Source organism: Homo sapiens, chromosome 13, assembly GCF_000001405.40.
Source record: "Homo sapiens chromosome 13, GRCh38.p14 Primary Assembly".
Lineage (NCBI taxonomy): Eukaryota > Metazoa > Chordata > Mammalia > Primates > Hominidae > Homo > Homo sapiens.
Genome location: NC_000013.11, coordinates 28,822,175 through 28,835,217, shown reverse-complemented (window position 1 = coordinate 28,835,217; position 13,043 = coordinate 28,822,175). Strand labels below are relative to the sequence as shown.

Genomic DNA, 13,043 nt, shown 5'->3' with positions numbered 1-13,043 from the left:
TCATGTGCAAGTTTTTATATGGATATGTAAGTTTTCAATTCTCTTGAGTATACACTTAGGAAGAGAGTTTCTGGGTCATGTTGTTACTCTATGCCTATAATTTGAGTAACTATCAACTGTTTCCCAAAATGGCTGTACCATTGCACAGTCCCACCAGCAAGTACCAGGCTTCCAACATTTCCATATCTTCACCAACACTTAATTTTGTCTTTTTAATTTTAGCCATCTTAGTGATACATTATTGTGGTTTTAATTTGCATTTCCCTAATGACTAATGTAGACTGCCTTTCCATATGCTTACTGGCCACTCGTATATCTTCTTTGGAAAAATGTCAATTCAAATCCTTTGTTGAATTTTTAATTGGGTTGTCTTTATCACCCCCAAAAAGTTATACTGCTGAATGAAATCATTTTTATATATTCTGGATACAAGATCCTTATTAGATACATAATTTTCAAAAAATTAATCTCATTATTTGGGTTGTCTTTTCTCTTTCTTGATGATATCCTCTGAAGGAAACAATTTTGTAATTTTTATTAAGACTAACCTATATATTCGTCACTCCTGCTTTTTGTTACATATAAGAAAATATTGCCTAATCCAACATCATGAAGATTTACTCTTACTTTTTTTCCTGAGACTTATTGTTTTATATTTTACATTTAAGTCAATAATCCATTTTGAGTTAATTTTGTATATGGTATGAAGTAGGATCCAACTTCATCCTTTTACACATAGGCATCTAGTTATTCCAGCACCATTTATTAAAAAGATCATTCATTCTTTCTTGAATTGAATTATCTTGTCACTCTTTTGAAAACCAATTAATAAAAAATGCAAGGGTTTGCTTCTGGGCCTTATGGATCAATTTTATACCACTGATCTATAAGGATATAATTTGCCTGCACCATGCTGTCTTTATTACGGTAGTTTTGTGTTAAGTTTTGAAATTAGAACTTGTGCTTCCTTCAACTTTGTTCTGCTTTTTCAGGATTACATTGACTATTCTGGGTCCCTTGCATTTCCATATCAATTTGAGGATCAGCTTTTCAATTTATTGGGAGGAAAAGACCTCTGTGTTTTTGATAGCGATTACATTAAATCTGCAGATCAATATGGGAAGCACTGTCACCTTAATAATATTAAGTCTTCCAGTCCATGAACACAGGATGTCTTTCCATTTACGTACATTATCTTTAATTTCTTTTAACAACGTTTTGCAGTTTTTAGTGTACAAGTCCTGAATGTCTTTTGTTAAATTTGTTCCTAAATATCTTATTCTTTTTGATACTATTACAAATGGAAATTTTCATTTTCATATTAATTGTAAGTGCAGAGAAATACAATTGACTTTTATTAATCTTGCATATGGCCACCTTACTGAACTTTTTAGTTCTCACAGTCTGTGTATACAGTCCTTAGGATTTTCTACATACAAGATCATGTCATCTGCAAAGAGATAATTTTACTTCTTCCTTTCCAATCTGGATGATTTTTCTTTCTTTTCCTTGCCTTGGCTAGAACATCCAGTATTAGGCTGAATAAATGTGAAAACAGTAGACATCCTTGCCTGTTCCTTGTTTTAAGAGGAAAACAGTCTTTCACAAGTACGATGTTAGCTGTGGGTTTTTCATAGATTCCCTTCATTAGGTTGAGGAAGTTTCCTTCCATTCCTAGTTTTGTATTTTTATCATGAAGTGCTGTTTGAATTTGTCAAGTGGTTTTTTTGTTTGTTTGTTTCTATTAAGATGATTATGGGGTTTCTGTATTTTATTCTATTAATATGGTATATTAAATTGATTGATTTTCAGATGTTAAACCAGTTGCCTTCCTCAGATAAATCCCACTTAGTCACGGTATACAAACCTTTTTATATGTTGCTGATTTCTGTTTGGTAGTATTTTCTTGCAGATTTTTGTATCTGTATTCATACAGAATAACAGCGATACTTTTCTTGTGATGTCTTTGGCTTTTGTATCAAAGTACTACTGGCCTTAAAGAATGAGCCAAGAATGTTCCCTCCTTGTCTACCTTCTTGAAAAACATTATGCAAAACTGCTGTTAATTCTTTAAATAAACATTTGGTAGAATTTACCGTTGAAGCCATCCCAGCCTGGGCTTTTCTTCATGGAAAAATATTTGATTACTAATTCAATCTCCTTTCTCATTATAGGTCACTTCAGATCTGCCCTTTCTTCTTGAGTCAGTTTGGTAGTATGTGTCTTCCTGGGAATTTACCCATTTCATTCAGGTTATATAATTTGTTGAAATAAATTTATTTAAAATGTTCTTATTTTATTTCTCTAAAATGGTAGTGATTCTCCTTCTTTTATTCTGATTTTAATAACTGATTCTTCTCTCTTTTTCTATTAGTCAGTTAGGTAAAGATTTGTAAATTTTGCTGATCTTTTCAAAAGACAACTTTTTGTTTTTATTGATTTTATTGTTTTTCTATTCTCTATTTCATTTACTTCTGTTCTAGTCCTTACTATAGTTTACATTGTGTACTTATTTTTATTTATATTTATATAAATATATAATTTTAAATATATACAATTTTAATATATTGTCATATTATATATATTTATATATTTAGCATACTTATTTAGTTTGCCCTTCTTTCTTTACATTATTAAGGTGTAAAGTTAGGTTGTTGGTCTGAGATCTTTCTTTTGTTCATACAGTCATTAACAGCTAAAAAAAAAATCCCTCTAAGTATTGATTTAGTTGCATCTCAGAAGTTTGTGTTTTTGTTTTCATTCTTCTCAAACTATTTTCTAACTTGCCTTCTGATTTCTTCTTTAATCCACTAGGAGTATATTAATTTCCACATTTTCTGTATTTCTGAAATTTCCCTCTATTCTTGATTTCTAATATCATTCCATTGTGGTCAGGGAACATATTCTGTATTATTTCAGCCCTTTTAAATTCATTGAAACTTATTCTGTGACCTATTACATAGTCTATTTTAAAGAATTTCCTACAGGCATTTAAGAACAATGTATATTCTGCTACCACTGGGTGAAGTGTTCTTTAGGTGTCTGTTAATTCCAGTTGGCTTATAAAGTTGCTCAAGCCTTTTATTTCCTTGCTGATCTTCAGCAAGAAAATAAGATCTTCTGTTTCAACCCATTTTTGAAAATGAGGTATTGATGCCAGGCACAGTGGCTCACACCTGTAATCCTAGCACTTGGGGAGGCTGAGGCAGGCAGATCACCTGAGTTCAGAAGTTTGAGACAAGCCTGGCCAACATAGTGAAAGCCTGTCTCTACTAAAAAAAAAAATACAAAAAAATAGCCAGGCATGGTGGCATGCACCTGTAGTCTCAGCTACTTGGGAGGCTGAGGCAAGAGAATCGCTTGAACTCAGGAGGCGGAGGTTGCAGTGAGCCAAGATGGCACCACTGCACTCCAGCCTGAGCAGCAGAGTGAGACTCTGTCTCAAAAAAATAATAAATAAATAAAAAAGGAAGGAAGGAAGAAAGGAAGGAAGGGAGGGAGGGAGGGAATGTGTATTGAAATCTCCAAATACTATTGTTGAATTTTCTATTTCTTCTTTCAATTCTGTTTCTGCTTCACATATTTAGGGGATCTATTGTTAAATACATGCATGCTCATATTTGACTTCCTGAGAAATTGATCCCTTTAACAACAGGTAATGACCTTCTTTGTCTTCTGCAATAATTTTTGACTTACAATCTGTTTCACTTCATATCGGTATAGCCATTCCAGCTCTCCTTTTATTACTATGTTCAGGTTATATCTTATTCTATTCTTTTACTTTCACAGTATTTGTGTCTTCATATATAAAGTGAGTGTGGTGAATGGCATATAGTTGAGTCATGTTTATTTCATGTTTATTAATTCTGCCAACCTATGCCTTTTGACTACAGTGATTAGTCCCTTTATATTTAATGTAAAAACTAAAAATGGCAGGATTTTACATCTGCCATTTTGCTATTTGTTGTGTTACGTCTGATGTCTTTTTGTTCCTCCACTACTGCCCTCTTTTGTGTTAAATAGATATTTTTCAATATATCATTTTCATTCCGTTTCTTTTACATTTTTTAGTTATTTTCTTAGTGGTTTGTACTCTTTTATATTTACCTATATAATTACCTTTACTGCTACTCTTTATTTCTTCCTGTGGATGTGTGTTACTGACTTGTGTCCTTTAGTTACAAACTGAAAGATTACCTTTAATATTTCTTGTAGGGACAGTCTGCTAGTGACAAATTCTCTGTTTTTGTTTTTCTGAGACATCTTAATCTTTTGTTCTTTTTTGAATAATAGTTTTGCTGGATATAGAATTCTTGATTGACAGTTTTTTTGTCTTTCAGCATTTTCAATACATCATTCCACTATCTTCTAGCCTCCAGTTTCTGATGAGAAGTCAGCTGTTAATCTTATTGAAGATCCTCTGTACATGATTACTCACTTCTCTCTTGCTGCTTGAGTTTTTGTCCATTATTTCCTCAAGTAATCTTTCTGTCCCCTTACTCTCATTCTTTTCCTTTTGAGATTTCAATTATACATATGTTGGTATTCATAATGGTGTCCCATAAATCTGATGTTCTGTTCATTTCTCTTCATTCCTTTGACTTTCTGTTCCTCATAGTATATAATTTCAATTGATTTATTTTCAAGTTTGCCGATTCTTTCTTCTGCTAGTTCAAATCTGTTGATGAGCCTCTCTAGTAAATTTTTTCATTTCAATCATTGTACTTTTCAATTCCATAATTTCTATTTTGTTCCTTTTTTAACAATTTCCCCCTTTATTGATATTCTCTATTTGAAGAGACATCATTTTTCTACTTTAATTCTTCAGACAAGGTTTCCTTCAGCTCTTCGAACACATTTATAATAGCTAATTTAAAATGTTTGTCTACTAAGTCCAGTATCTGGACTTTCTCAGGGATACTTTTGTTTTTCCTGTTATGGCCCATATGCTACTGCTTGTGTGTGTGGAAATTTTATGTTGAAAACTGGATTTAAAAAAATATGGCAACCTAGAAATAAGATTCCACTCTGCATAAAGGTTTGTTGTTATATTTGTTGCTACTATTGTTTCTATTGCTATTTCCCAGACTAATTATGTAAAGTCTACTTTGTTTATCATGTGCAGCTGCTGAAGTCTAGCTTCAGTGGTCAGCTAATGACGGTACAGAGATTTCTGTCTTTGCTGAGGGATTACGCGTGTTGGGGGGTGGGGTACATGCTTTTAACACTCCAGCAGGTAGTTTACAACTCTTAGTCTTCTCTTCCTACTTTACTTATGCAAAGCCTCATTGTTAGTCTGAGATGACAGATTAAGGCCTTATTAAGTATTTCCTGGACATACAGACATGGGACTTCTAGATTCCAAAGACTACATCAAAGGTTTTTAAAGCCCCCATAGGTAGCTCCTTTTCCAATTTTTCCTTTTAAGTTTTTTGGTTAACCTCTTGTTAACCCCAACTGGTGTCACTGCCTCAGGCAGCTGAGAGGTTAAACAATTACTGCTGATTGTTTTCCAAAAATGCCACAGGGCTCTGCAAAACAAGCTTTGAGAATGGAGTTTTTTAAGAAGCTTCTAGAGCAATCATATAGTGACAATTTTCTGAGACTGGGGATCTTAGAGGGCTCTAAACCTGTTTTGTCCCTTTCAGTGGCTTCTAGGCTATTAGTTATTGTTTGTTTTTTTTTTTAGACGGAGTCCTACTCTGTCATTCAGGCTGGAGTTCAGTGGCGCAATCTCAGCTCACTGCAACCTCCACCTCCCGGGTTCAAGCGATTCTCCTGCCTCAGCCTCCCAAGTAGCTGAGATTACATACACACACCACCATGCCTGGCTAATTTTTTTTTTTGTACTTTTAGGAGAGACAGCATTTCACCTTGTTGGCCAGGCTGGTCTCAAACTCCTGACCTCAGGTGACCCACCTGTCTCAGCCTCTCTAAGTGCTAGGATTACAGGTGTGAGCCACTGTGCCTGACTTAGGCTATTAGTTTTGAAGGCTACAATGGAGCTGCGGATGAAGGAATGGGAATAAGGTAAGTTTAAAAATGACAAAGTTCACTGTTCTTACTGAGATTCAGTCCTTTTTCTTGAATAAATATTCCTCAGATTGTTATAAACCCTTCGTTAATTTCCACCATTCTAAAATGGTTTATTTTGATATTTTTGCCAGTGCTTTCATTGTTATTGTGCAGGAGAGACTTTTCAGAATGTCTTTACTCCAATAATTCAGATGTGTTCCAAGATAAATAATATATTAATGCAATATTTTTAGGAAATCAAAATTAATGTAAAAAATCCATGATGAACGAAATATTAAAACTTTATAGATAGGATCAGTAACAGTGCTATTACAAACCAAACTGGAGCCTGACACAAAAGGAAAACTCAGTAATACTGATCCTGTCTTCCTTTAAAATTTTGATATTTTGTTCATTATGGATTTTTTGCATTAATCTTGATTTTCTAAAATGCATAAAATATTTATTTGTATTACTAAGTGTCTTGGTGTCCCTTAAATTTTGTACCTGAGGCAAGTGCTCAACTAGCCTCTCTCTACTGCTGACCCTGGAGTGTTGCAGGAAGTCAGGGACCCCGAACGGAGGGACCGGCTGAAGCCATGGCAGAAGAACATAAATTGTAAAGATTTCATGGACATTTATTAGTTCCCCAAATTAATAATTTTATAATTTCTTACACCTGTCTTTACTGCAATCTCTGAAGATAAATTGTGAAGATTTCATGGCCATTTATCACTTCCCCAATCAATGCTCTTGTGATTTCCTATGCCTGTCTTTACTTTAATTGCTTAATCCTGTCATCTTCATAAGCTGAGGATGAATGTCACCTCAGGACCCTGTGATGATTGTGTTAACTGCACAAATTGTTTAAACAATATGAAATCTGGGTACCTTGAAAAAAGAACAGGATAACAGCAATGTTGAGGGAACAAGGGAGATAACCTTAAAGTCTGGCTGCCTGTGGGCTTGGCAGAACAGAGCCATATTTCTCTTCTTTCAAGAGCAAATAGGAGAAATATCGCTGAATTCTTTTTCTCAGCAAGGAACACCCCTGAGAAAGAGAATGCATTCCCAAGGGGAGGTCTCTGAAATGGCCACTTTGGGAACGTCTGTCTTTTACGGTTGTGGATAAGCGGTGAAATAAGCCCCAGTCTCCCGTAGCGCTCCCAGGCTTATTAAGACGAGGAAATTCCCGCCTAATAAATTTTGGTCAGACTAGTTGTCTGCTCTCAAACCCTGTCTCCTGATAAGATGTTATCAATGACAATGCATGCCCAAAACTTCATTAGCGATTTTAATTTCACCCCGGTCCTGTGATCTCACCCTGCCTCCATTTGCCATGTGATATTTTATTACCTTGTGAAGCATGTGATCTCTGTGACCCACACACTATTCGTACACTCCCTCCCCTTTTGAAAATCACTAATAAAAACTTGCTGGTTTTGCGGCTTGAGGGGCATCACGGAACCTGCCAACATGTGATGTCTCCCCCAGACACCCAGCTCTAAAATTTCTCTCTTTTGTACTATTTCCCTTTATTTCTCAGACCGGCCAATACTTAGGGAAAATAGAAAAGGACCCACGTCAAATATTGGGGGCTGAATTTCCCCCGATACTGAAGAAATGTGGCTGCAGGTCACATTCCTGCTTTTATTGTTATTCTCTAAACTGAGATATTAATGCTAACTCACATTTATATTTTATTCCAATATCCTGGGCCATTATCAAAATTATAATCCTAAAATTTAGCAGAAAAATTTCAGTATAAAGTTTGGGGGTAGAGGACAATGTATTTATATTAAAATAACTTCAAAATCTGCTAGTAGTGGCAAATTAGCTCACTCAATATAAAACTAATTACTACCTGCCAGTTAAACTAATACAATGTGGATTTAAAAAAAAAGAATACTTGCTAGAGTCTTCAGAAAACTAAACCTAATGTTTGGCATGTTCACTGTACAAACTTCCAATGATACCATGTAACACTAATGGAAAATGCATCAGGCTTAGAAACATCAATTTCAACCAAAATTATTCTGCTACATGATTTCAATTCTCAAATTAACTTTCCCTGAAATAAACTGATAGTAATATAAGAATTAGAAGCAAAAAAATGTGTTTGGCTTAATATGTGGCAACATTTCCAACCTGAGAACACAATTATTTGTGTGTAGAAAAATACTGCCTGTCTTGAGAAGCTATTTTCAATGAGTAATGTCAAACAGCTTAGCACAAAGATAATTAATTCAGGATGATTTGAGATTACTTCTCCCGTATTTACAGAGCTAGTGTTCATATTAAATTTTTAGACTAGTACTCTGCAGTAGCAATCTGATGAAGTGTGGAAAATAAACTTCCCTATTAAGTGTTATTTGCTTCTGCTGTTTTATTATCATTTATTGTAATCCAAGGCTATATATTCCTGGCTTTCTCTATTGTACTTTTGGGGAAAAGCACTTAAAATCAGTGTATCAATATCAGCCTGTTTCTGGACAAATGTATTTGCCTTATTACAGTCTTCATAGACGCTAATGCATTATGTTGGCTTTTCATTTCTGCAAGGTGAGTCAAACTTTCTAAAGTCAGTATCAGGCCATCATCAATACTGGTTTGGCCCTAATCACACACACTGCTGGCTTATCTATAATGACTGTGTGTAAACACTCTTTTGTTTTTCTATGGGAACTGAACATACTGGTACAATGGGTCTACAGTAAACAGAGTAAAAAGACTAATAAGGAGAGGACCTCAGAGATCATATAGCCTATCCTCTCTGGGACAAGGGAAGTACATTTGGCTGAAATACAATAATCTTGTTTTTAAAATCTCTCAACAGATAAACAGTCTCGTCTTCTATCTAGTCTGATAATAAAAAATAGAAATAAAGAGACCAAAGTAATCATTTTTTATCTATTCATTCATCTAACCATGTATTTTAAATTTATTGATTTATTTACTTATTTAGCAGATGATATGACCATCTATCTGGAAAATCCAAGGAAAATAACCACAAAACAAGGTTATAATTAATAAGAGCTTGAAAAGTGCTTGGTTACATTACATTTTAGAATAGCTTTCTATATATCAATTATTGGTTATATGTAATACAACCAACATATAGAATATATACAACCAATTAGAAGAAGGCCCACTTACAAAAGCTAAAGAGGAGTATCAAATACCCAGGAATGACCTTAAGTTCCCCATTTTCCAAATACAATAGGGCACGTGAGAGAAGCTTGCAAAGTAAGAGACCACATGAAGTCATGACAGGCACAGAGAAGAGTCAGGAACACCAGACTCCTATAAATGCCACCTCCCCAATGCCAGCTGCATATGCTCACTCAAGCTGCTGTGATGCTCCCTACCCACCAGCAAACAATCCAAGGAACCTCTATATGAGAGATTTGTGTTTTGGTTGTTGAGAGTTTAAAATGGTTACAAGCTAACAGCTTAAAAAATGAAACAGCTATCCCATCCTGGTTCCATACCCCTGTCCCCATGAGTATAGAAAGGCTGTAACTAAAAACCAGCAGACAGGCCCTGGCTGCTGCTCCCCAATGGTTTCTTCACCTTCTCCATGGAGAAATTCATGACAGCCTGTTGCCAGGGGTGTGTGTGTGTGTGTTGTTCTGGTTAGCAGATGTTGAGCAGCCATCTGGGCATGCAGGAGCCTCGGTCAATGACTGAGTAATTTCCCCTCCTCAAACCCTAACCAACCCCAGTTCCCTTTAAGCTGGGGATTCTCTCTAGGCTCAGTTCAAATCAGAAAGTTGTTCTAGGTTCCTGATATTAAGACATTCCTCGAGAAAGAGCCGTGTGGTTTCCACTGTCCACATCTTTTATACATCATAGTTCCATTTGTTCCCAGGGTGACTGCAGGGAATCCAGGCTGGAGTGAGCTTGCCCCCAGCCTCTTTCCTATGACAAACCAGTGGGAGCCATCATTGAAAACATACACTCTCATTCCTTACTCCTATTCAGGTATGGTCTAGGCTGGATTCCGATGCCCTGAGAGGTCCTCAGTTCCAAGCCACCATACCACTAAGGCCCCAAGAACAACACCAGTGTTCGTGGGCAGCCTCAGGTGGCTGGAGTGGGGGATGGGGCTGCTGTCATGAGGAAAAGCTGGCCATGAGCATGAGATTCCCCCACTGCGGCCTGCAGCTGCCTCCCTGTGCTCCCCACAAATGCCAGCTGCACTCTGGTCAGGTGGCTCACTCTTCCATCTCCTTTAGGGCTCTGCTCAACATCTCCTTTCAGTGAGGCATTCCCTGACCACACTACTTGAAATAGCAATTCCCCATAACCCACTCCTGCTCCCCCATCTCTGATTTATTTTCTCCATAGCAGTATCCATACCTGATATATTAAGTACTTAACCTCATCTGATTCATTCCATTACACTGTAAGTTCCTCAAGGATGCAGTTTTTGTCTGTTTTATTTGCTGCTCTATACCTAATATGTAAAAGTGCCTGGCCTATGGAGACACTCAAACTTTTTTGTTGGATGGTGTTTAAAAAAAAAAAAAAAAGCTAGACACTGGTTAAAGGCAGTAAAGACAGATTTTACCCAGTACAACTGCAGTGAGAGAAAGAGACTTCAGTATAGAACTGAGCTCAACTCCAATTCAGGTAGAGGTGACTGGGTGTTTTAAAGGGAGAATAAGGAAGTAGGGAGGAGAAATGAGAATGTGTGGGGGCTCAAGCAGGGTCAAGGACACAGAACATTACAGCAATCAGGCAAGGGGGCTTGCCAATGAGACTAGGCCATCTGTGACTGCTAAATGGCACTTGTCAAAGTTAGGCTCCTACCCATCTACAGAGACTAGAGGACAGAGCCCTATCCTCCCTGATGATTACACTTCAAAGGAATGGCTCACAGACACTGAGGAAGACACTCCAGGTGGTAGGAGATACACATATATCTCAAAGGCACAGAGAAAGAATTACAATTGTAAGTTTTTAATAAACGATCTAACAAAATGAAAGTCAGGGGCCTATTATCATTTGTGTGGGCTAGAACAAAAGATAAATTCTTTGGGGCAGCCTTGAGCTTTTCTAGGTAGGAATGCAAGTGAGGCTGGGTGATCCCAGACACATGGCCTTAGGCTGCTAGATGCCATGTTATATGGTTTGGCTGTGTCCCCACCCAAATGTCATCATGAATTATAATTCCCATAATCCCCATGTGTCATGAGAGGGACTAGGTGGGAGGTAATTTAATCATGGGGGAACTACCCTCATGTTGTTCTCGCGACAGTAAGTTCTCATGAAATCTGCTGGTTTTATACGGTGTTTTTCCCCCTTTTGCTCATTTTTCTCTCCTGCTGCCATGTGAAGAAGGACGTGTTTGCTTCCCCTTCCACCGTGATTCTATGTTTCCTGAGGCCTCCCCAGCCATGCTGAACTATATGAGTCAATTAAACCTCTTTCCTTTATATATTACCCAGTCTTGGGTATGTCTTTATCAGCAAGGTGAGAACAGGCTAATACACCATGCTACAGTGTTTTCAAATCCGTTGGAGGGTGGGAGCACAGACAAAATTGTTTGTGTTGAAAGCTGCAGTTCTTACGGGCCAAGGTTGAGGCCCAGTTGAGAAGAGGGCTCAGGGGAGCCTGACTAAAGTTTGGTCAAAAAGAGAGTCTCTGTGGATGGGTGGGTGGATGGTAGATAGATGACTGATGGATGGGTAATTGATAGACAAGGTATACCCGTTGGTGGGAAGGGTCAAGATGATAAGATCTAAAGGCATCCAAATTCACATAGGAAGTAGAAATCATTTCAGAGAAAAGGGGAAACTCCTTGACTCTTTTCAACAACTCGTTTCAAACATGTGTGTGGTAGATATTATAAGCCTCCCACTTGCTCATAAAAACTGCTAATGGGAACAAGCAGATACTCATCTAGTCCTTCCAAACCTGCATTTGTTTCCTGTAGGATATTTTCGAGGAATGAGTTTGTTTGCTTACTGTTGAAAATTCGTATTAGAGACCAATCCTGAGCTTACAGAAGGATCTCCTATGGAGCTGATGCTATCTGTTCCTATTAACATTTTATTAATGAAGCATCTTTCAATAGTTTTCCTTCCTTTCCCCTTGGCATCCTGCCTCTGAGAGGAGGAAGAGCTTTAACCCACTTTCCTCCCTTCCCCAACCCGTTTCCACTCTTCTCCACCTCCAGCTCACACACTGATCCAAAACAATCCCATGTGTGTGCGATCACGAGGCAAAGAGCTAGTTCTCCAGGTATGTGCCTGATTTCAGTGGCTCTATACAGCCCTAGGTTATAGCAGTTTGCATTTTCTCAGCAAGTCAACTATGATATTGTACAGATTTTTTTCATCTTTTCAGATGACAAAAATTAAACTAAGAATAGGCAATTTTATAAGTTAATACTTGAACACAGGTTTGAAGACAGGGATAGATTCAGGGTCTGTGGAACCTTGGGTTTATATAATTGGGGGGTGGGAATATAGAAAGAGTACTCTCCTTATTTAAAAAAAAAATCCAAAAGTACAAATACAAACTCAGGGATGACCACATGAACACACTGCCAGTGCCCCTCCCAGAGGGCTCCAAAGAAGCCTCTGTGACGGAGGGACCTGAGGCTTAGGTTCATTAGCTCCCCAGTCGATCTGCCTCTGCTGGAGATAGAAAGGACTAGAGAGGTTTCTGCCACAGCATTCAAATCTCTAGAAAATCGCTAAGCATAACAGTCTTCTATTACATCAATCCCCCAGATGCTATTCTTACCTCTCTTTCACAAACCACCATCCCTGCTGTTCCCTCCAATTTGGCAACAGCAATTCATTATAAAAGTGCGTATGCCGGAGTGGGTTTCGGCATCCTCCTGGATTTTGGCTTTAACAGTCTAGTTCCGTGTCAATTATGTAATAGCCCAAACAGGGAGTTTAATGGAGTACCAAAAGCACAGTCATAGCTCTTACATAAGCCTTCATAAACCATCCATAAGATCTGCTCCTAGATTTGGATATTTGGGATTACATAAGGGAGACAGAAAACAC

General features: G+C 37.4%; 1 protein-coding gene across 9 annotated transcripts in view; it reads right to left on the bottom strand.

The window, feature by feature from the left end:
- The window catches only part of MTUS2 (microtubule associated scaffold protein 2), a 685,985-nt gene that overhangs the window by 670,730 nt on the left and 2,212 nt on the right, over nucleotides 1-13,043 (bottom strand). The window lies entirely within an intron of this gene.